General features: G+C 36.5%; 1 protein-coding gene and 1 pseudogene across 36 annotated transcripts in view; both read right to left on the bottom strand.

The window, feature by feature from the left end:
* Positions 1–25,992, bottom strand: part of PAK3 (p21 (RAC1) activated kinase 3) — a 282,965-nt gene that overhangs the window by 40,137 nt on the left and 216,836 nt on the right. For 35 of the 36 annotated variants that reach the window (NR_136747.2, NR_136748.1, XM_047442148.1 and 32 more), the window contains 3 exons: positions 24,179–24,310; positions 23,498–23,663; positions 14,144–14,207 (listed from right to left, as the gene is read on the bottom strand). Coding sequence is in view for 34 of the 36 variants with exons in the window: in XM_047442148.1 (XP_047298104.1) it covers positions 14,144–14,207; positions 23,498–23,663; positions 24,179–24,310 (362 nt within the window). In the remaining 2 variants the exon portion in view is untranslated. Of the gene's footprint in view, positions 1–2,819; positions 4,693–14,143; positions 14,208–23,497; positions 23,664–24,178; positions 24,311–25,992 lie in introns of those variants that run through there. The other variant, XM_011530971.3, reaches the window with a different exon arrangement.
* On the bottom strand, positions 17,822–18,004 carry FCF1P4 (FCF1 pseudogene 4; annotated as a pseudogene).

Below are 25,992 nucleotides of genomic sequence, written 5' to 3'. Positions count from 1 at the left end.
AGCTAATTCAAATATCACATATACTTCCTTTTAGCTAGAATTATATCAACTTGTAATTATGTTGGATATCACATGATGATTAAAAGCTTTAATTAGCAGTTATATGTATTTTTTGCTTAATAAAGTACAATAAATAAACTATTAATAAATACAGTTCAATCATCAAAATTATTTATAACCCAGGGTTTACAAAGACAAATAATTGAAGGGATCTTGGTGAAGTTGGGAAGCACTCTCCTTGTAATAACTGAAGCACAGTAGTGTATACTCCCAAAGAAACAATCTTCATGCCAACCATGTTGTGCTGATTCCCAAAGATGAGCTTTGCAACGGCCTGGGGTATATCAAAATATCTCCATGCATATATTTACAAAATAAAACCTTAATTCACTTTAATTTTTAAAAGTTGGTGTCTTTTTTTGGTTCCATATGAAATATAAAGTAGTTTTTCTAATTCTGTGAAGAAAGTCAATGGTAGCTTGATGGGGATAGCATTGAATCTATAAATTACTTTGGGCAGTATGGGCATTTTCACGATATTGATTCTTCCTATTCATGAGCATTGAATGTTTTTCCATTTGTTTGTGTCCTCTCTTGTTTTCTTAAGGAGTGGTTTGTAGTTCTCCTTGAAGAGGTCATTCACATCCCTTGTAAGTTGCATTCCTAGGTATTTTATTCTTTTTGTAGCAATTGTAAATAGGAGTTCACTCATGATTTGGCTCTCTATTATTGGTGTATAGGAATGCTTGTGATTTTTGCACATTGATTTTGTATCCTGAGACTTTGCTGAAGTTGCTTATCAGCTTAAGGAGATTTTGGGCTGAGACAATGGGGTTTTCTAGATATACAATCATGTCGTCTGCAAACAGGGACAATTTGACTTCCTCTCTTCCTATTTGAACACCCTTTATTTCTTTCTGTTTCCTGATTGCCCTGGCCAGAACTTCCAACACTATGTTGAATAGGAGTGGTGAGAGAGGGCAACCTTGTCTTATGCTGGTTTTCAAAGGGAATGCTTCCAGCTTTTGCCCATTCAGTATGATATTGGCTGTGGGTTCGTCATAAATAGCTCTTAATATTTTGAGATATGCTCCATCAATACCTAGTTTATTGAGAGTTTTTAGGATGAAGGGGTGTTGAATTTTACTGAAGGCCTTTTCTGCATGTATTGAGATAATCAGGTTTTTCTCATTGGTTCTGTTTAAGGGATGGATTACGTTTATTGATTTTTGTATGTTGAACCAGCCTTGCATCCCAGGGATGAAGCTGACTTGATTGTGGTGGATAAGCTTTTTGCTGTGCTGCTGGATTCAGTTTGCCAGTATTTTATTGGGGATTTTTGCACCAATATTCATCATTGGTATTGGCCTGAAATTTTATATAGCCAAGACAATCCTAAGCAAAAAGAACAAACCTGGAGGCATCATCCTACCTGACTTCAAACTATACTACAAGGCTACAGTAACCAAAACACCATGGTACTGGTACCAAAACAGAAACATAGACCAATGGAATAGAACAGAGGCCTCAGAAGTAATGCCACACATCTACAACAGCAATGGGGAAAGGATTCCCTATTTAATAAATGGTGTTGGGAAAACTGGCTATCCATATGCAGAAAACTGAAACTGAACCCCTTCCTTACACCTTATATAAAAATTAACTCAAGATGGATTAAAGACTTAAACATAAAACCTAAAACCATAAAAAACCCTAGAAGAAAACCTAGGCAATACCATTCAGGAGATAGACACGGGCAAAGACTTCATGATTAAAACACCAAAAGCAATGGAAGCAAAAGCCAAAATTAACAAATAGAATCTAATTAAACTAAAGAGCTTCTGCACAGCAAAATAAACTATCATCAGAGTCAACAAGCAACCTACAGAATGGAAGAAAATTTTTGCAATCGATCCATGTGACAAAGGGCTAATATCCAGAATCTACAAGGAACTTAAACAAAATTTACAAGAAAAAAAACAATCCCATCAAAAAGTGAGCAAAGGATATGAACAGACACTTCTCAAAAGAAGACATTTATGCGGTCAACAAACATACTAAAAAAAGCTCATCATCACTGGTCAAGAAATGCAAATCAAAAATCACAATGAGATACCATCTCACGCCAGTTAGAATGGCGATCATTAAAAAGCCAGGAAACAACAGATGTTGGAGGGGATGTGGAGAAATAGGAATGCTTTTACATCATTGGTGGGAGTGTAAGTTAGTTCAACCATTGTGGAAAACAGTGTGGTGATTCCTCAAGGGTCTAGAACCAGAAATATCATTTGACCCAGCAATCCCATTGCTGGGCATATACCCAAAGGGTTATAAATCATTCTACTATAAAGACACGTGTACATGTACGTTTATTGCAGCACTATTCACAATAGCAAAGTCTTGGAACCAACCCAAATGCCCATCAATGATAGACTGGATTAAGAAAATGTGACACATATATACCATGGAGTACTATGCAGCCATAAAAAGGATGAGTTAATGTCCTTTGCAGGGACATGGATGAAGCTGGAAACCATCGTTCTCAGCAAAGTAACACAGGAACAGAAAACCAAACAACGTATATTCTCACTCATAAGTGGGAGTTGAACAATGAGAACACATGGACACAGGAAGGGGAACATCACACACCGGGGCCTGTTGGGGGATGGGGGGCTAGGGGAGGGATAGCATTAGGACAAATACCTAACGTAGATGATGGGTTGATGGGTGCAGCAAACCACCATGGCATGTGTATACCTATGTAACAAACCTGCACGTTCTGCACACGTATCCCAGAACTTAAAGTATAATTAAAAAAAAAAAAGTCAGTGTCACGCAGCACTATAGGATGTAAAGATGCCAAAACTCAAACTAACAAAGATAGGGGTTAAAATTCCTAATTCTCCAGTGTATTGGGTCTGGTGTGCTAAAATGGGCAACACTGTCAATTTGATTTTTATGCTAAACATTTAATTACATTGATCCCTATTATCACTCCATTCCAGTTATATTAAAGCCAGATTCCTGTAGGAAGAACATGCTTTTATGATAGGTATTGTTTTTATTCCAAATCTCAATCCCTCAGATAGTACAAAGTAATCATGCATTATCAGGACTCAAAGGAAAATAGAGAACATCCAGTTTAACTTCCTCATTACAAATGAGAAATCTGAAGCCCAGAAAGCAGGAAGGATAGGCCCATGATAACATAGCAAGTAAGTAACAAAGGTCTCCTAACTTGAAGTTAGAGATCTTTCAGTTAACTATACTATGATTAAAGAATACTAAACCAACAGATTTCTCAACCATTGGGACCCATCATCAATTAAAATGCGATAAGTACATCTGGGTTCTTGGCATCACATTAGATGCTTTGTCAACAGTCTCTCCCTGACATGGCCAAGCGCTTACTACTCAAATGGAAACACTGGCATCTAGCCTGAAGGGTCCAGAAAGAAACAATTCACAATTCTCCCTTTTCCTCATAAAGCAGGTCAGTTTCATTATCAGGAATCTTGACCAGGTTTTGATGTTTCCCACCAAGTGCCAATGTCAAGCCATAATCATGAGTAGTTGTAAAAGTAGCAACATGGTAGGACTAATAATTTAGATAAGTCACTTTGATTTCAGCATGGAAATGGATTAGAGGAAAAGAAGGGTGAAGAAGTGAGCCTAGGAAGAAGCTCATATACTGGGAGAAAACAAAAAGGGCAAGAGGTCTAAAGGCTCAATGAAGTCCAAGAAGAATCTGGTAGGAATAAGAATGAGGGAGCCAGAAAGATAGGCAAAATTCCCATTAAGGTTTTACAAATATAAATCTGGTGCTAATGAGGTCATAGTCAAGGATTAAACCCCATATAGAATGGTTATTTTTTTTACATGTATTCCTATTGCTGCTGCTGCTATAAAAAGGCTATTTCACTTATTGAGCCATACTCTCTGCAGCTCTCTGTAATGATCTCACTTAATGCCCACCCTGTACAACTCTATGAGATAAATTAGATTTTCCTCACTTTGCAAATGAGGACATTGAAACAAAGAAATGTTAAGTAGGTTGCCTAAGGTTGCACAATCAGCAGCTGAGCTTAAAAATGCATTACTTTCTCTCCACAGCCCATGCTCTTAATCACCATTTCATGTTTTGCTATAGATCTTTAGCATTTTTACCTCAGTGCTAAGTGCAAGTGTGGTACTTCCCAAAGCTCATGTTTGTACCTGTTATGCTAAGCCGCCTCCCCAAAATGTTTATCTTGCCTTTAATTTTCTACTCACTTTGTCCACAAGCCATTTAGTTTGTACCAGGACATGGTATGTTTTATTCCTTTGGTATAACCACACACAAGTTGTTGTTCTGTTTGCCGACTCAATTAAGATTGATCATGTGGCTGAAAATGAACTGCTGTTAGTTTTTAGAAATAGACTTTATCTTTTGCTGAATATTAAAAAAGTTACTACTTGTAGGCTCCTATCTAGATATTGTCTCACTATACTAACGCACCTGACATAAAAACAGATTATATATCTATATATATCTGTATATATATAGTTTGATACTACCATATAGTTACTTGTTTTGTTGAGAGATGTGTTCTTTGGGGCTCAGGAATGATGTTACCATCACATGCAATAACTTTTCCAAAGACAGAGTTCTGGCGTTTTCCTTTGTGTAATTTACTTCTAAAAAATGCATCCCTAAATTTAAAAAAGAAAATTATGTAAAAATCATGTTATCTCAGTACTGCTCTAAGTACACAGAATGTAGCTGGGGCCAGATGGTATAGTCTTTAATTACTAAGATTATAAATCAGAACACGGAATTTTCTGTTCTTTAGCTAGGGCATGACTTTTCTCAGAGTATTCACGGTCATCTAATTTTAAAGAGAGCTGTAACACATTATGGGTGTGGGGCCAGGGAGCTCGGTGGGTTATAGTCCAGTGATAATGAGGCCACAATTACAAGGCTTAATCCCTGGAAAGGCCAGATAACTCTCGGCTACTCACTCCAACATTAAATCTAAGCAGCTGTTTCACAGTGTGTGCCATTGGATTCAAGAGGCCTGGACAGGAAAGGGGGGCAGGTGGCTTAAAACAAGCTCATTACTGTGGCTGGAAAAAACAAGTTAACGTGCAAACTCTGCTAATGGTGTTTGATTGAGTGGCATCATCTTTCTTTACAAGGGACAGCACACAACACAGTGCATTTAAGAGCATTAAGTAGAACAAAGAGCATCTTCCATTGCTCCATAAACATTGTTCTTCACAAATGCTAATGTATTTCCAATCTCCTACATCACAAAGCCTTTTATAGAACTCAGACTACATCTATTTAGTGCTTCATAGCAGCGTTCTACCTTGTGTGGCCCAAAATAGATCCGATGAAGAAGCAAATACTTTTGGGGTGGGTGGTCCTACCCAAAGAATCACTTCTATAAGCACACTAGACACCACTCTTGCCCATAGTTTCCTGAACAACCAAAAAAAAAAAAAAAATCAGAGGTTTTATTCTCAGCACTCTGAGTTCCATGGCATACACTGCTTTGTCAGGTTCTCTAAACGACACTGTTATTCAACAAGTCTTTTAAGAAATAAGTTTCAAAGCTATTCATCTTCAATATGAGACTTTCATGTTAGATTAAGAAGAAAGGGGCTTCTCACTGAGTAGCAGAGATAAGTCTGAAAAATACCTAACATTATATACTTAGTTTCTGTAGTCTTAAAACTAAAACTAATTTAGAGAGACGGGGGGGACTGAGGGCTTGATTACGCATGAGCTAGTAGCAAAATTTGTTAGCAATTATTGATGAATTGAACATATCATCATTCTATATAATGATATGATTGACAAAGATCCAGATGTTAGACAAAATTCCTTTGCCCAGATATATATCTACGTGTAAGAGAAAAATGATTTCAAGAAATGCTCTCATTGTCACTTTCTGTCAAACATAGCTGCATAGCTAATCTAACCTATGGAGAGATATAACATGTAACAAAGATACTTTGGCATTATAAAGACATGGACTACATTGGCTAATTAATTCTTCAGGATAGCCTTTTGTTTTGCCACATGCTTTCTTGTTAGAGTTCCTTTCTTATTTATTTTCCTTTTTAAAAAAGTCAGTGTGGGAGTGTTTTTATTATACGACTATAATCCCAAATAAGTGAATACAGCTGTGTTGGCAAAGGTGCAGGCAAACCGGCACTCTCATACATTATTGATGGTGTGTTAAATAAACAAACCTCTAAGGAGGGTAACTCAGAAAGAAAAATGCACATATCCTTTTACATAACAATTCCACTTTTAGGAATCTATTCTAATGATAACTTTGTATAAAATGGTTTATTTGTAAGGATCTTCACAGAAGCCTTGTTTATAATAGCAAAACATCAAAAACAAATTAAATGTCTATGTCCATTTAGGGCCTAGTTCAATAAATTATGGTACTATTCAAATAACAAAGCACTGCATCTGTTTAAAAAGTATGAGGTACAAGCATAGAACCATCTCTAAAACACAGAAACACAATAAAAAAGGAGATATATAGTATGTTACCACTTGTGCTAAAAATATACCTACAACAAACATACATGCATGCACAGAAATGCACCATATATACCCAAATACAAGATAAGGGTTTTCTCCTCCCAATTTTTCCTCATAAAAATGGAGCTGCCTTATATGCAAGTTCTTATAAAAATCTTTCATGTGATTGGTACTTATCCATATTCATTTATTTTTAACTATAAAATACAGTTTGGAAAGGACATATTAGGTTGATATCTTCTCAATTAATGCTAGTTTTGGATGCTCATAGAGAGTACCTGTCAGAATTACAAAGAAAGGATGTGAATAAGTTATTTTGGAGGGTATGACCACATAACTGCAAGTGTTGGATGTCGTAAACAAGCTATTAAAAGACCTCTGTCAAAACTAATGCAGTGAAAGGGTCTCCCATTAGCTAAAGATGGAATAGTTTGACCACCATAAACAATAATAGATGCAACTCAGTGAAACATATTGACAATGTAAAATTGTAAGACTTTATAAAGATACTTAATAAAATTTCCCTACTAAAAATATCAAAATACCCCTCATTGAACACTTTCGTATGTAACTCCATGCTAACTCTTTACAATGAAAGCTGGCAATTAAAAAAGCAAGCATCTGGCCAGGCATGGTGGCTCTCATATGTAATCCCAGCACTTTGGGAGGCTGAGGTGGGTGGATCACTTGAGGTCAGGAGTTCAAGACCAGCCTGGCCAACATGGTGAAACCCCGTATCTACTAAAAATACAAAATTAGCCGGGCATGGTGACACACGCCTGTAATCCCAGTTACTCGAGAGGCTGAGGCAAGAGAATCCCCTGAATCCCAGAGGTGGAAGTTAGAAGAGCAAGTTAAATGACAGCTAATGAAACTAACAGACAAATACAGAAAGTGCCACATTTTACAAGGCAATAACCAGTTTCTTCAACAAGATAATGGTAGTGGAAAAAGAAAGGAGACTGCTTCAGGGTATACAGACTTACGATATACAACAAATGCAATATGTAGATCTCCTTTGGATGTTGATTTGAACAAATCAATTATAAAAATAGCGTTTTGTTGCAAGTGGAGAATTCTGATTATAGACTGGGAGTTAAATGATATGAAGCAATTGTTAATTGTTTGTAGATGTAATGGCATTGTGATTTTATTAAAAATTGTTGATAAATATTTAATATGAGTGATAAGAATACAGTAGTTCCTGTGTTATTTTCCCTATTTTTGTGTAAGTATGACAATTTGTAATAGAAATTTTAAAAAGTCATATAGTAGATAGTAGATATATGTCATGAAGACCTAAATATACACCTACAGGACAAATTCAAAAAACAATAGTCTTAATGTTATATGAATGGGTAATTGTGACTAGGAATAAATATCCACGAACAGAATTATATGTGGGTTCAAAATCTCAAATATCTTAGATGGAAGTCAGGTAATATATTTGAGTAACTGCTGGAAGACTCAAAAATAATCTCTAGTGATTACAAAAAGAATGATGTTAAAGACACATAAGAAGATTTTGAATTATACCACTCGTGAAATATGAGAGTAGAAAAATCTCTACAAAATAATACTTTATATAAGTGGTTTTAAATATGAAAATGAAAGTAAATTAACAAACATCATAAGTAGACTTTCAACCATATATATATATATATATATAGATATATAGATATACAGATATCTCTCTCTCTATATATATATATATATATATAAAACAGTTTATGTATGCAGGTGCATCAAAAAACTTTTTAAAATTATCTTATTGTGTTACCTTATATTTGAGCATATATGCTGGGGCAGTGTTGCAGACCTTAGGGATACCAAAGTGAATGAAACCTACAGTCTGAAGTAAGCATTCAAACAAAACTTCTTATAAACCCTACTTGTTAAATTCCTATACCCTCTAATGTCACTCTCAAGTGTACCCTCTTCTAAGAATCCATCATACCCACTCCTTGGCTGTAAATAATTTGTCCCTCCTCTCTGTCCACAGAGATCTTTGTAATTTCTTCACAATACTTATTATATTCTGTTCTATATAATAGCAACATATGAGTGTGTCTTTCATCCCTAATAATAACTAGCATTTACTGAGCAATTAACTATGTGCCATGTACTGTGCTAAGGACTTTAAATGCCTTCTCTTATTTATTTTTACAACCTTATGAGATACGTGCATTCTGCTTACTATGAAAGAGAAAACTGATGCTTAAAGAAATTAAATAATTTTTCTACAGCCCTGAGTTCAGAATCCTGTCTCTTTCTTTTTCTTCAAGTTTTTCAAAAATTCTCCCTTTATTCCTCTACATTCCTCAAAGTTTCAAGCAATTTTACATGTCTAGACAAGCTAAGATATAAGTGGTGAATACATGCCGGCACAGATATAATCTGTAGGATTCAGAAAAACAAAAGACAGAAAAGGTCAATTAGGACCAGGCCAGCCAAAGAGTGATTCATATGAGAGATGACAGTGAAGATGAGTGTATGAATAAAATATAGAGGAAAGGTACATTATTGGGGGTAGGTGTTCATCTTATTTCTTGATATAACTCTTCTCCATGTCCAGTATTCAGGGGGACCACAAGTATAGAGGTCACTGTGAACTCTGAGAACCTGATTCTTAACTGCTACTCTCCATTACACATAGTAGGCACTCATTAAAGGTTCATTGATGTTAAAAATATACTTGTTAAACTGGATCCTCTGAGCTGCTTCCTCAAAAATATTTTTCTATTATAATGTTGAAGAGAAAAGACAATATGAACCTGAAAGAGAAAAAAAGGCCTGTTTTTCAGTGCATTCTCATTTAAGGAAAGACCCTAACATGAATTCAAATACATTAATGAGAAATCTGTGAGGACAGCTGCCAACATTGTAAATTCAGCCCTCTGTTACATAGCTATTGCTTATTCAGGAATTACACAGGGTTGCTATTGATAGCTGTTGACTGAAAATAAATATTTGACTTTGTTGTCTCACTCTACCTCATTTATTAAACAAGTTATTTTATATAACTATTCTAGAAAGTGAAGATTCTCAAGTGCGCACCGGATATATTTCTGACAAACTCATGTTGTTGAGTTAATGATAATTTTGGGGTACCTGACTTTTTTTCTTTCTTTCCTTATTTTTTAACTTTGCATAAATTTGCTCAAAATGTCTGGATTTGGTAGCCAATTATAGAACACTTTTCACAGCAAACCCAGTGAAACAATGTCATTTTTAGCCTTCAACTCACAGATATGGCCTCAAACGATTAGACATGTGATTCTGAACTTGATTTATGGAAGATGGAGCCCAATTCTCTGGCCCCAGGCCTGAATGCTGGGATGGCAGAAACCCATGCTGGAGAAAAAATTTAGTTTTCCAAGTAAATGAAGGTGATTAATGGAGAAGCTCTTCTCAAATCCAGCTCCTGAGAGTGAGTGAACTGTTGTGCTCTCTGGAGCTGAGAATAAAATACTGGGGCTGATTATCCCTAACACCAAATGATTATTGACAACAATTTTGAATGTCACTGTAATAATAGGTAAGGCAAAAACAATTAAAAACACAGATTTAATTTTAAAAAACTCTACATATTGAGAGTAGAGACTACTAGTTTATATAACTTAGGCCAGTAATTAATGAAAAAAAAATCAGTTGAAAGCCATTTAAGTAAAAAGAAAGTTAATATAAGTGGGAGGTGGGTTTTTTTTTTTTTTTTGGTCCAGAAAGAAAAAAGTCAATATTTTGCTTTACTTTAATAATTAAGAACTGAGGAAAAACAATCTACTAAGATCAAAAAAATAAAATTAGTAAATTAAGTAAATGATAAAATCATAGTAAATAGATTTAAGCCGGCAGATTATATCTTAAATACATCTTGATTTTATATTATGACAATTTGGGTTGTGGGGTGTGTGTGAAAATGGGCAGTAGAATGTAAGGCCAACATGCTTGAAGAAGACAGATATGCAGCACACACAAATACCCAGAGAATAAAGGAATCAGATGTGGTGAGGCCAATCAAGTCATTGTGAAAGACAAAAATGTGAAGACACACTGAGGAAAAACAGGGAAAGACAGACACAGGAGGAGCAAGATAGGCATGTATATACACATGTAAATACAGAGGACAGAGGAAAGAGATAGCTAGAAAGACAAACATTTTCTTTTTTATTTTTTTAATTTTACTTTAAGTTCTGGGATACAAGTGCAGGACGTGCAGGTTTATTACTTAGGTATATGTGTGCCATGGTGGTTTGCTGCACCTATGAACTCATCATCTAGGTTTTAAGCCCCGCATGCATTGGCTATTCGTCCTAATGCTCTCACTCCCTTCGCCCCCCATTCCCCTTCTGGCCCCAGTGTGTGTTGTTCCCCTCCATGTCCATATGTTCTCATTGTTCAACTCCCACTTACGAGTGAGAAGATGCAGTGGAAAGACAAACATTTTCATTAGCTCAACAAATATTTATTGAGGCAAAAACAGACCCACAGAGACGGAGTTGGCAGACAGCTTTGCAGTTCTTTGAATCTGGCCAAAGTGAACCCAGCTGTTGATCATAACTGCACAAAATTATTTCAGAGGGCCTACTAAGTGCAAAAGCACTGTGCTAAACACTAAAGAAGACAAAAGTAGGAATACAATTGACTCCATACCCTCTAAGGATGTATTAAAAAGTTGTGTTGGGCCTATGAGTGAACTATCTGCTACTTTATCATTCTTTAAAATGATGAACTTGCTGGGAATTTAAAATAGACCTTTCTGCAGTGGCAAGCAGGATTTATGCTTCGATTTTTTCATTTTAGGTTGTGAAGACTGTACAAAGAGACTCAGAGATAGAGAACTTTCCTTTTCATCTTTAAAAGTCACAGGCATAAATAATAGCCAAGAGAGGAAATCTCTTTGTTACACAAAGTTGCTTGGTGGCCTGATCTTTGTTCTTGGCAAAATTAGTCTTGTTTCATTACCTAGTATCTGGGAGGTATCTGAAACCATCTTGTACTTTTTCCTTTTAAAATTCAATGCTATTTTTGGCTCAGTTGGCCTTTAGTTGGAACAATCAAGACAAAATTATAACATCTCCCACTCTCCAAAAAACAACCATGGAAAAACACTTTACGAATTAATAAACAAATAACTCCCAGTTAAGGCTACAACTAGAGCATTACTGCCTATTAGAAATATAACATGAGCCACGAGCCATATTTAAAATTTCTTAGAGTTACATAAAGTTTTTAAAAGGTGAAATTAATTTTCATAATATATTTTCTTTAATCCAATGTATGCAAAATTTCCCAACATGTAATCAATAAAAAATATATTAATGAGATACTTTACATTATTTTTTCATACTAAGGTTTTGAAATCAGGTGTGCCTTTTATACTTAAGTACATTTCCATTTGGACTAGCCACATTTCAAGTGCTCAGTAGCCAAATGTGGTTACTGGCCACCATACTGGACAACAATGATTTGGAGTGCTATTTCTAAGTGGATTGAATATCCCTTCCCTTCCTATTGTTAGCTCCACCTGAGACTCATCCAGATGAAAATGAAATCTAAAAGCCAACTTTTGTTTTCTAAGTCCCTTTAGTACATAATACTGTCTTTTTGCAATCTGTCTGGTGGTATTTACCCTTTAGGCATGAAGAAGGAGAGCTGAGGTCTGTATATAGACTTGGGAAGGTATAGGTTTCTTACTTAAGCAAAACAACAAGTCCACCAGAAGTAGACAGGGAAAATTCCCGGTGGGAGAAAACGGCTCTAGAAGCTGGCCCTGCTCTATACTTGGTTGAATTGAGTAAGCTTGCCTCTAGGTTCTTCTGGTACCCTGTATCCCTCTGTCAAGCACTTATCAGTGTAAACTGTAAGTTCCTTGAGGGCCCACACCATCATTACCCATCTCTGTCTCTCTAGCACTTAGCATAGTGCCTGGAACATAGTTAGTGCTCAAGAAATATCTGCTAAACAAATAAATGAGTTCACATAAATTCAGTTTCTTATGTGCACTACCCACATTCCAAGTGCCCCATAGCCACACATAGCCAGTGGCTACCATATTAGACAGCACAGATATAGAACATCTCTATCATCACAGTAAGTTCTGTTGTTTATCACTGTTTTAGAACAATGAGTAGAAATATTAATTTGACCCATTCGGTGACAGGAAGCTTCTAGAGACCATAAAACTCTTCTTTTTTGTGAGCAAATGAGAATATATTTTAGCCCCCTGGAAAGTTCAAATACAATGTCATTATGGTTTTGACTGGAAGAATAAACTTGGCCATGCATTTCTTCCTGAGTTTCTGTCCCCCTTAGGGTCTTCTCATCTTGATTCCCACCAGGCACAGTTTCCATGAGTGCCTCTCCTTTTCTCTAGCCCAAACGTCTAATGAATGCTTTCCCTTATTTCCTGAGATATACTGGCAATTTCAAAAGAAACTTTAGTACAAAAGCTAGGGGGAAAAACAAAGAAAATATAAAATCATGAAAAATAGTCAAGCTTATATATGATGTATACTTTTTTGAACCTAAGTATGCCAGGAAAAGCAGTGTGGTTCTTGAAGAAATTCTACCTTCTCTTACCCTAAAATAATTAGATTCTAATGGCTGATCGGCTAGCACAGTTTTGCAAGCATATTGGCTGTAACCCTTTGTCTTCAGCCCCTTGCCTCAGCCAGGAAAAGTCTGAGGTGCCATCTTTGTTTCTGACATACAGTAGTTGGTGTCCCTGAATATGTGTCTCACTCCTCATTTAAGGATGTCCCTTAAGAATATTCCATTTTCCTTTAAATAAAACTTTTCCCTGTTTCAAATGCTGTTGCCTGCTCAGATCCACCTGCCTAGTTTCACTTTGAGGCCTGAGAGACATGCATTAGTACAGTTGACTTGCAGAACTGGTGACTCCTGCCTTCAGCTTTAGTGAATAATCTAATGCAATGGTACCCATGTATTGCTGATTATCAGGATTATCTGAGGGACTTTTGCAAAGTTCAGATCACTGAACCCCACTCCAGACTCTAAATCAAATCTTTGGCAGTGGGGCCTGGGAATCTTTATCTTTAACAAGTATATTAAGTGAAAATGATGCACTAGGTCTCATTTAGGGATTATTGTCTGTTTCCTCCATACTCAGATAGTCAACTCTGCCTACCTCCGGATCATTCCATAAGGACATTCCCCACCCTCAGTTTGTCACTCCACATTTTGACAATAAAACAGGATCTTAATCATACCATCCATGTGGCTGTAGGGGGAACTGCGATAAAGGGGGTTTTTACGTAAGCTAGAAGTTTCCATAACCCTACTGCTTTTTCTAGAGAAATCTGTTTGAATCTTCTAACTACATAGGATCAAAATGTCCACACAGAATTTACTGTCAGCCCAACAATAATGAAGATTTCAGCAGGATGTGTTCCTAGGTTAATGTTGTAACTGTTGTCAGCACTCCCCCTGAAAGGCCAATACTGAGAATGCAAGACATAAATATAATCTAGGAAATGAGAAGCATAATTTACCAGAAACCCAAGCTCTTACTGAATTTTAATTTTAATGTATGTTGCTTGTACTCATCTTTTTATATTTCAAATAACAATCACTTACCCTTGACCAATTTTTTCAAATCTTGTGTATTTTTTCTTTGGGTCCCCAACACTCACAATGCTTCCTAAGAGATGGGTGGGGAGAGAAGAAAAGAGGAGGAGGTGGAAGAGAGAGAGAGAGAGAGAGAAATAGAAATTGATTGACTGTTTTTTAATTTAATAATGAAAATTAAGATGCCAGAGTCAGTGACAAATAAAACATTAGACAAATACTCCCATGGGATTTCTATAATTTACATAAAAATGATACTTTCTACTTATTAAAATAACAAATAGTTTTATAGTAATTAAAGTAGTAATAATAACCCATTTTGCTTATATTCAAAATTACTGATATTTGGAAAACAAAAAAAACTTGTCACAACCCAACATCTATAAAAAGTTCTCATAATACTATATATTAGGATATAAAAAAAATCTAAGAAAGGGATGGAGCTGGAGGTCATGAACCTAAGCAAACAAATGCAAGAAAAGAAAACCAAATACTGCATGTTGTCGCTTATAAGTGGGAGCTAAACAATGAATACACACGAGTATAAAGATAGGAACAATAAACACTGGGGATCACTAGGCAGGAGAGGAGAGGGAGAAGGGCTGAAGAACTACCTATTGGGTAGTATGCTCACTGCCTAGGTGAAGGCATCATTAGAGTCCCAAGCCTCAGCATCACACAATTTACCCATGTAACAAACCTGCATGTGTACCCTTTAATCTATAACAAAAGTTGAAGTTATAAAATACAAAAATGTGCTCAGGCTCATAAACATTCTGGAAAATATACAATAAAACCAGAATGAGTTAACACTACAGACCGATCAGAATGGCTAAAATTAAAAAGGTTGTCAATACCAAACGTTATATCAATGATGTAGAGCAATTGGAACCCTTGTACACTGATGGTGGGTACATAAATTGGTATAATCGCTAAAAAACAATCTAAGAACTTATCCACACTATTTAGTAAAATCACTGTCTTCTCTGAATTGAAGTTAAGCACTATGCTATATCCAATTCTGCTGGACAAATATCTATTGAGTAATTACTATGTACCTAGTACAGTGCTAAGGGTGTGGGGATGGAAATGAGTCTAATGAAGAACAAAGTTTGATCATAAAGTAATGAGACCCATGCATGTTCAAAACATATATTTCCAAACCTAGGACACTGCTAGTGCTCCAAAGATTTGAACAGATTTACTGACATATGATTTACATGCCATAAAGTTCAGTGACCTAGAGTGTGCAATTGAATGTCTTTAACATATTTAATGAGTTGTGTAAATGTCATCATGATCTAATTTTAGAATGTTTTCATTATTCCAGAAAGAAACCTTTTACCTCTTACTTGTTAGCAGTTACTCCCCATCTTCCCTTAGTTCCCAAAACATATCTAGGCAACCACTAATCTACTTTCTGTTTCTATAGATTGCTCCAAACATTTTTTTAGTAAGTTTATAAGCTACATAAGAAAACTATTAATTTATCATGTTTGGCTCTTTAAAAATAATAGTTTTGCTATTTCAAAAAAATCCAGTCCATCACTCAGAGGATGAATACTTGCTATCACTCAGAATAAATACCACAGAAGTGGCATTGACTCTTCAATGCAGTGTTCAAATAGGTCCAGAAAAATCTTGGGGTTATAGAACAATCATGGGAATAAGGGTGCAGCTTCTCAAGGGTATACTTTGAAGGGCATCATTTATTTGGAGGCCTCTGGCCCACCTTTCTTTCTGGAAGCAAACATGTCAGTATTATTATCTTTGAGTTATATCTTACTAACACATGGTACAAAGAAGTGTACAGTTGGTTGGTAAGGCAAGATTTTCACATATGAACTAATCAAGAGAAGATCTGTAAATTCTATCTTCTAGTTGTCACTCGTATTCATACTCTTCTCTCTATGCCCATGGCCACTGCTATTGTTCGGGCTTTCAATACTTCTTATTCAAACAATTGTGCCAGTCATAACCTACTCATAGACTCTGCTTTCTCTAGTTCCTCTTACACCATGCCTTTGGAAAAGGGGGACCATACTATTCATAAAATGAGTCTGTCCTGGACAGACTGAGATGTACAATAACCCTATATCAGAGTGATTTTGCTCCACTGTTCATAATTCCTTAAAAGCTCCTGCCCACTGCAGGATCAAATCCTATTTCTGTAGTTAGACAGAGAAGGTCCTTCACCCTTCAGCATCATCTGGCTCCTATCTAACCAGTCTAGCTTTATATTATTCTTTTTCTCCACCCTTACTACTTTATATCCTAGTAATGCTATCACTATCTAGTGCTTAGGGCTTTGCATGTGCTCCCCCTTTTCCTTTCCTATCTAACCCATGAATTCTTATTTGTCATTTAAATAAAATCTCAAATTATCCACCTTTATGAAGTCTTCTCTGATCATTTCACTGAGACTTACATGCTGCTTCTTGAGGGCAGGAACTTTGTCCTTTCATCCCTGTAACTTTGGAGCCTAGAACAGTGGCTGCTACTAAACAAATATTTGTTGATTAAATGAATGAGAACAAGAAAATATGTATTTAAGTGCTCAATTATATGCTACAGATAATACTTCATGCTAATTTACACAACAGTCTATTCTCTGGGCTAGTATACAACATAATTTAGACCTAACAGCAGTAGATAGTATACCTTGAGAAAAATAATCAGTTAAACATTTCACTCATAGATTACTCATCAAGTTGTTGGTTTTTTTTTTAATGAAAGTTCACTTTTAAATTAAGTTAAATAAGACTTAGCTAATATATGGGTTGTTATAATACTTTTTCTTTTGTATTTCCACTATCAGTCAGTAGTACTGCCAATCCATCTACTCAGTAGCCTGAGTCAGAAATCTGCAAGTCATCATTGACTCTTACTTTCACTTACCACGTGCAGTTGTCCACCAAGGGCCTATATCTTGTTACCTCCTAGACATCTTTTGAATGTGTTCCTTCCTCATTACTACTGCTTTAGTTGGGCTCCCATCATCTTTTTCCTGGGTTATTCCAACAGCCTCCTAACTGGACTCCTAGTCTAGCTGCTGCCCTCTTTAGTCAAGGCTCTACATCTCTATCAGGATCCTCTAAGTGCAGACCTGATAATGTGATTCTCTGGTTCAGGATTACTTGATAGCTCCCTAACACCTACAGATGAAAGCCAAAACTCCTTGGCAATGCAAGGTTCCTAATCTGGCTCCTGCTTCATTCTCTTCTCATCATTTACCACTTCCCCACTAGAACTTTATGCTCTAAGCATAACAAACTAATGGTAGCTCATGATCAGCTCCTGCTTAAAAGTTCAGTTTCCTCTTCTACAATGCCAGTATCACCATATACCACCAATTCTTTATTAAAGTAACACTGAATAAGTCAGAGTTCCAGGACATATGCTTCAAGTCTTCTTTACATGCCATTCGCTGCCTGAAATGTCCTTCCCATATTTTCTCTGTGGCAAGTTCCTATTCATGCTTCCAAACTTAGCTTAGATGTTCCCTCTTCTAGGAAGCTTTCTCTGATCCCTTGAATAATTAACAACTTCACTTTTCTGTGCTACTACTGTATCTTCTCTCTCTCTCTCTCGCCCTTGTTCTCTCTCTCTCTGTACTTAATATATCAGATGTCTATATCTATCTATTTGGAACTTTGACTTGTAAGAATTAGAACTGAAGGGTTTCATAATCATCTGGCATCCATTCAATGTTGTATCTATGGCTAGAAATGTACATGATATACATGACGGGAATTCCACAGATCTTCCTGGTTCACTTAAGGTCTTGGTCACAATGTAACACTTGTGCTGAGTTACTCTCTGTACTAAACAGTCATCTGCATAGGTTCCTTTGTGTGTGTATGGTATTTGATATTGCCTTTTAGACTATGTCTTTAAGTACAGGAGCCATGTCTTATTCATCTCTGTATCTTCAGTGCCTCCTCACACAATGCCGTGTGTAGAATATATTGATATATTTGCTGAATTACAATAAAATACAATTAGTTATTTCCCTTTGTAAATGCTCCATGGTTTAAGGCAAGGGTTGGAGAATATATTTTACTTGAGCTATATCTATAGAATGCCACCAATTTAGCAATTTCTGAGTTGGTCTTTTATTTTTCAACTTGTCTAACAGATTTCTATATAACTGAGAGCCATCCTTATTCAAATTAGCTATTAATGCGCAAGGGCCTGGACTTTTTTATTTTAATGAAATGACGATTTTAAAGTCACTTGAAGCCATAATTTTATTAAGCAGTTTATAGTCTTCTAAAAAAGTTTAACTATTAAGTTGCTAAGCAACTTTTTTCCATATAGAAAAAGCTTCAGCCCAAGCCACTTTCTGAATTATGACCCATTCCAAATGGTGGGGTTCAGTTAATGTGGCTTTATGGTAATAAATTATTCAACCTTTATTTCCATGTTATGCAGGGGGAAAAAAAACTGGAAATAAATCCTTTCATGAAGATTACCAAAAGAAACCATTTTGATGAGATTCCACTTCTGAACTTAACTGCTATTCAAATAAAATGGTGTCTCCACACTCATCGCCCTTCACAGGAGAGTGTGTGCTGCCATCTACTGATGTTAGGCAAGTATACTAGAGGCCTTGTTTACCATTCTCAATCACAAAACAAGCTTTTAAAGTGATCTTTTCCATTAGTTATTATAATTTGCTTTTGTAAATTACGATAAAGAAAAAACACTGTGACACAATAGGGAGAAAGTTTTTTAAAATCAGCAAATCAAAATCAAAAGAAAAAAAAGCAATACCAGAACAATTTCCTACCAGAACTTCCTAAAGAAGAAATAAACTATTCATTTTAAAGTGCAGGTTTTAAGAATGCTAAATACTTGTATTTGAAAATAGCATTCATGATATGAGTTCAGTGACAGAAAAGCCCATCAATATATTTTCTGACATATTAAGCTAAGGTGAACTCCCACCATTAAAAGATTATCCTTTTAGCATAATGAAGATTTTGATTTCTGAGAAAAAGTAAAAAGATTCTCTAAATTGATATCAGTTCTATATGAGGGTGAATTAGGAAAAAGGGTTTTGAGTGGGGAATGCTGAGGGAGGTGAGAGGCAAGGAGTAGGTGATAGTGGGGCCCAGAGGAAGGAGGTTGAAGACAAATTTCCTGTATTACACAACTTTACTGACAGTAATGGCTTTTGAAATTTGTCACTAAAATGTGGTGGTTTCCTTTTTTATTATACTTTAAGTTATGGGGTACATGTGCAGAACGTGCAGTTTTGTTACACAGATATACAGGTGCCATGGTGGTTTGCTGCACCTATCAACCCGTCATCTACATTAGGTATTTCTCCTAATGCTATCCCTCCCCTAGCCCCCTACTCCCCGACAGGCCCCGGTGTGTGATATTCCCCTCCCTGTGTCCATGTGTTCTCATTGTTCAACTCCCACTTACGAGTGAGAACATGCAGTGTTTGGTTTTCTGTTCTTGTTTCTGTATTTTTCAACAGATCTAGACAGACCACAATGAACAAGCCAGACCCAGGCTATTTGTCTGTGTAAAACTGAAAGATGACCTGTTCATTTCACCCAATAATGACCTCTTGCTCTGGCCACCACAATCAGCATCTGCATGGAAGATGAATAGCTCTGTGGTCTGGGCTGCCCACCTCTTAGTAACTGGACCCCTGACACTGAAGGTAAGGATGGTTTAGTAGAGGCTGCCATCTACTCTTCACCATGCTTATGAGGTCCACTCTGGTATGGGATATTGGCCATCTTTCTGCCTGCCTGTTTCCCTTTTTCCTCTCTTTTGCCTCTCAGCACAGGCTGCTCTACTTTTTCCCCAAGCTCCAATGTGGCCTTTGAGTCCAAGATACTTGATGGCTTCTGTACAGTAATCATACACCTGGGATTATTCCTGGTTTCAATCATTCTGTCACACTGTAAGACCCCAAACCCCCATTTTTATGCTGAAAAATATGATCACTCTCACTCTGTAAAAATAGCATAATAACAATTTTATATTACTGTTTATTGTGCTAGATGTCTTATATACTTTAACTTATTTAGTCCTCACACAACCCCTATTATATGGGTACAATTATTATCTCCATCTTTCAGATGAAGAAAATTATGTTCAGAGATGTTAAGTGACTTGACTAAGGACATACAGCTAGTATAAGTCTATGACTCAGACCCAGTGATGACTTATTTCAAAGCTTGACCCATTGTATTATCTTATGAAGGCTTTATACCCATGTAATAACAATTACCACTTATTGAGCCCCTATGATGTGCCTGATACTGCTGCTGAGGTTTTTATATTATCATTATCCCCACTTTTTAGATGAGAAAATGGAGGCCCAGAAAATTTAAATAACTGGCCCTAGGTGACACAGCTAATAGCAATGGGTCTATGATTTAAATGTAGATCCTTCTGACTCCCTTAACCATAGGATGAGCTCCTTAAAATCCATCCTATAGACAGAGTCCTGAAATGTAGTAATGGGCCAGGCTTGGTGGCTCCTGCCTGTAATCCCAGCACATTGGGAAGTTGAGGCAGGAGGACTGCTTGAGCTCAGGAGTTCAAGACCAGCCTGGGCAACACAGCAAGTTCCCATCTGTACAAAAAATAAAAAATTTAGCTGGGCATGGTGGCGCACACCTAAAATTGTAGCTACTTGGGAGGCTGAGGTGGATCATTTGAGCCCACGAGGTCAAGGTTGCAGTGAGCCATGATTGTGCCAGTGTACTCCAGCCTGGGTAACAGAGCCAGACGTTATCTCTCACAAAAATGTAGTTATGATTCTTATCTCCATTTCACAGGTTAAAAATTGAGGCTCAGAGGAGTTAAGTGACTTGTCTGAAGTTTTCCTTAGACAAAGGCGTAATGGCAGAGAGAAGGCACAGAGAGGGTAATGGTGGAGCAGGAGCAGGAAAGTCTGCCTTTGTGGACTTTGGAGTATAGTTCACTGAATCTGCTTCATGAGAAGCACTGCTCCACTTCTCAGCAGGTTCACCCTGCCAAAATCTACAAATCCAATGTAAGGTTGGCAGTCACAAGTGGCCTGCTGGCTAGAGGGAAAATGACTCTCTCTATGCCCAAGCATGAAGTCCAGTAGAGAAAAAAAAAACCCCACTGAATTCTTAATTCAAATGTAATCAAAGTTAGCTTCCCCTTCTTCACCATGTTGCTCAGTGTAGAGCAGAATAAACAAAATAATAAGGACACAGCTCTAGCACCACTAGAGTTTACAAGCAAAACAAGATTTTGGTCCAAGAAAATAATGCTTGTTTCTCTGTCAGCTAACAAAACTATACAAGCATTTTTGTTGTAATACATCTATTGAGATTTGAAACAGATACCAAATAAGAGTCATTTTATTAAGGCAAGGCTGTTAGATTTTTAAAATCTGATATAATCACATAGGTCATGTCTACATATGCAAAATAAAGAAAAACGTGCCAATTGTCTGAATAATTGAACTTAAATTATCGAGGCAATTCTTTCATTTAGTTCTTCCTTTTTACAAAAATAGACAGTTCGGATATGCAGAAGCAAAGTAGGTAGGTAATGGAAAAAGTGTAAGCTTTGAAGGTAAACTGGTCTCAGTTCAAACTTTGGTTGTGCCACACATTGGTTTGGTGACTTGGTCAGTTAAGCCTTTTAAAGCTTACTTTCATTCACTGGTCTGTAAAATGAGGATATTAGAATCAGCTGCAAGGAATTACTGTGAAACTATGATAATGTATGTAAAGTGGCCCACCCAGAAGGTGCCCAATAAATGAGAATTATTACTGCTGTTATTACAGCAAATGGTTAGTATCAGTGCTAGTGGCATATTTAATCATGAATAGTAAAGTCAGCAAAAATCTAGCAATTGTAGTTCTGAGTTTTAACTGACAGCTGCAACTCCGACCTTTGCCTTTCCAAATGCATCTAACTCAAATGCCTCAATCTCAGTACTGTTGACATTTTGGACTGAATAATACTTTACTGTAAAGTGGATGGAGGGCAGCCGTCCTGTGCACTGTTGGGGTTTTAGAAGCATCCTTAGCCTCTACCCATTATATGCTACTAGCAGTCTCTGAATCAGGACAATAAAAATATTCTCCAGACATTGCTAAATGTCCTTTGGAGGGCAAAATCATCCTACCACCACCTCTGCAGAGCCTCCCTGTGGCCTATAGTGGGAATTACTGTCTTCCTTTTCTGAGGTCTTTTAAATAAAAATATGCATGAAACGAGATTATCTTATGCTCTAATTGTATCATACTATTAAATCGTATTTTCCAAAAAAGATTGAATTTCTTGATGACAGGAAAGTTTCATTCTATTGTGTCCTCCAAGGTTTCTTGCACAGAACAGACAAGTAGGAACTCAGTAAAGATGTATTTGTTTACTTATTTTTTTCATTCACTCACTCAACAAGCATTTGCTGTATGCCTTTATGTAATGGGTATGAACTAGGGGTTGGACATATAGGGAAAAAAGGGCACAGTCCCTGCTCTTGAGAATCTCACAGTCTAGTAAAGAAGTCAGACTAATATGGTTTGATATTTGCTCCAGTAAAAGTGGTAAGGAAGAGATGCCCTTAACATGGACTGGGAGGGACAAGCAACATCTTCTGAGGAGGCAACTTTTGAGCTGAGTATTGAAGGATAAGTAGGAGTTAGTCAAACTGGGGTTGGGGGGGGCACTTATTGCTGATATCTAGCAATTTGTTAGATGCTTTTATAGTATGAGTTTAATGAATATGCTTTACAAACCTTTGACTTTTCAGCAGATAATCCATTTTTTTTTATCTTCTTGACCCAGAAAAGTAACTAGAAGGTAAGTGTTTTATAAAACTGGGGCAACAAGTGTGTACACACGAGCATGTACACACTAATGACATTGTGGAAGGAAGCTACTAGCATTTGCTAGTTCTGTCTCTCCTGCCACATATAAATGCTTCTGAATTAAGGGAAAAAGCTATATTATTTGTTGTTCCAAGTTTTGATTGACTGTGTTGGGCTTTGAGGTTGACATATCTATCATCACTGATTAGTTGAGAGCCCTTGGGTTATGATCATAACATATTTTATCAGACTATTCTCTTTTGAAGATGTAATCTTAAAACTTGCTACTTAATTTGTCTTATCAATTTTCACCTCAATTGATTCCTTCAAGTAAAAATATTTAGTTCCTGTCAAATTAGGAGTGGAAGGGAGAAAGTGTTCTGGCATATGCAGTGAGTCTCAAATTTTTCATCTCATGATTTTGGGAAGTCTGGAGTTCATATAAGCAGATTAAAACTTCCAAAGGATCAATTCCCATTTTAAATGGCTTATGAGAAACACTCCCGTGTAGAAAGTAATCATGGCAAGAAGTACTCACTTAGCTTCTCTAAGATCTCCTCATCTGTCATCTTGGATTTTTTTCTTTGCCGATCTGTGTTCCTGTACAAAGTACTGGAATTGGCATTTTCAGCAGAGGGTGGTGTGACCTCTTTATTTGGTACTGCTGGTGAAGCAATGGATTCAACCACAGAACGAGTATAGATCTAAAAAAACCAAAAAGCTCTGCAATTAAAACAGCAGGCCAAGGAAAGAGTGTGGAGTCAATGTATTGTAATATCAATGAATTTTTAAAGACAAGTGGTATTTTCTTAAAAAAAAAAAGGACTTTGAGTAGCTGAAAGTACAACACTGTTGAAAGATCATGGGAGCTAGTCTTTGGATGTCCCTATACATGCCTTGCTAATTCTGGTCTGAGGATCTCTGTTTATGCAACTCTTCCTACCTGGTTTACATGGATTTCCTTCCTTACCTTAACTTCTCCAACATTTTTATTACTTAGCAGTTATTTATGTATTGTTTGGTATTATTCTCTAATTGTTTAATGTGCTAACCTTGTATCCTCAAACAGTATCCTCAAAACCTTGGTCATATTTTATACTTTAGCTCTTGGAACATAAAAGATGCTTAATAGGTACTAGCTGATTAACTATATTCTAACTCTATGACTATTCCAAAGGGCATCTTTTGAATCATTTGGAAATAGTCCTTTGTGACTTACTGATTTTGTATGCTCTGGTCTTGGTGCGATAACTGGTGGTGGCTCATTTTCATCTTCTTCTTCTTCTTCCTCTTCATCTTCTTCTTCAGACACAGGAGGGGCCAATGGAGGCTCAGATGCTGTTTTTGTACTCTTGTGACAAAAACAAAGTTTAAAGATCAGGTATTAACTCCTCATTGTTTTTCTTCAGAAATAAAACAAGGGAAATGAAATATTTAAGCATGTAGGGATAGGAGGAAACTACATCTTTCACAAATGATCAGAATCATCAACAATTTGGTGGCCAGGACTTGCTCACCTGAATACAATCTCTGAACTTATTCAGAGATAAATTCATGTCATGGCTTAAAAAACCATGAAGTGTAATTTTTTAAAAAACTTCTCACTGAGCTCAAAAACAGTGGACTATTATTCACTTAATATTTTAAAGTTCAATGTTTTTGAAATACATTAAAAATCAAACTAATTGCTCTTAGAGCCTTGAATCTATACTGGGCAGATTATCAATTTATTGATTGACAGTTTGTCAACTTGAAAAGAACTATTTTCTACCTAAGGATCAGAGCATGCATATACATATGGTATTAATATAGCTCTGTAAATACTCACTAAGAACAAACAAGCCAATAAATGTCTCTTCCCTGTCCAGCCTCCTGGAAAGAAGCACTCAGAGAGTAATAGACATGAAGATCTAAGAACTACTCATCCACATGAATAATTACTCAATATTAACCATGAGTTAAATGGAGATTTTCAATATTTTATAAACTGCAATAATACGACAGTATTGTGGTACAATAGCAACAATACCTAGGGACAGTTCTTGATCACTCATGTTAATACAGTGGTAAAATGGTTCCAAAGTTGGATTTTGAAAGAACTGTGGCCATGGTTCTCAAAGTGTGGTTCCCAGATCAGCATCATTAGCATCATTAAGGAACTTGTTAGAAATGCAAATTTTCAAGCTCCATTCAGACCTATGAATCAGAAACTCTGGAAGTGGAGCCCAGCGATCTGTATTATAACAAGCCTTCCAGGTGATCCTGATGCAAGCTCAAGTTTAAAAACCATCAACTATGGCTTAGGTCTGCACTGTTTAACATGGCAGTAACTAACCACATAAGGCTACAGAACACTTAAAATGTGGCTAGCCTGTGACTTCAAACTATACTACAAGGCTACAGTAACCAAAACAGCATGGTACTGGTACCAAAACAGAGATACAGACCAATGGAACAGAACAGAGCCCTCAGAAATAATGCCACATATCTACAACCATCTGATCTTTGACAAACTGACAAAAACAAGCAATGGGGAAAGGATTCCCTATTTAATAAATTTTGCTGGGAAAACTGGCTAGCCATATGTAGAAAGCTGAAACTGGATCCCTTCCTTACACCTTATACAAAAATTAATTCAAGATGGATTAAAGACTTACATGTTAGACCTAAAACCATAAAAACCCTGGAAGAAAACCTAGGCAATACCATTCAGGACATAGGCATGGGCAAGGACTTCATGTCTAAAACACCAAAAGCAATGACAACAAAAGCCAAAATTGACAAATGGGATCTAATTAAACTAAAGAGCTTCTGCACAGCAAAAGAAACCACCATCAGAATGAACAGGCAACCTACAGAATGGGAGAAAATTTTTGCAACCTACTCATCTGACAAAGGGCTAATATCCAGAATCTACAATGAACTCAAACAAATTTACAAGAAAAAAACAAACAACCCCATCAAAAAGTGGGCAAAGGATATGAATAGACACTTCTCAAAAGAAGATATTTATGCCGCCAAAAAACACATGAA

The sequence above is a fragment of the Homo sapiens genome, chromosome X (genome assembly GCF_000001405.40).
Source record: "Homo sapiens chromosome X, GRCh38.p14 Primary Assembly".
Classification (NCBI taxonomy): domain Eukaryota; kingdom Metazoa; phylum Chordata; class Mammalia; order Primates; family Hominidae; genus Homo; species Homo sapiens.
This window is presented reverse-complemented; position numbering and strand designations above follow the sequence as displayed.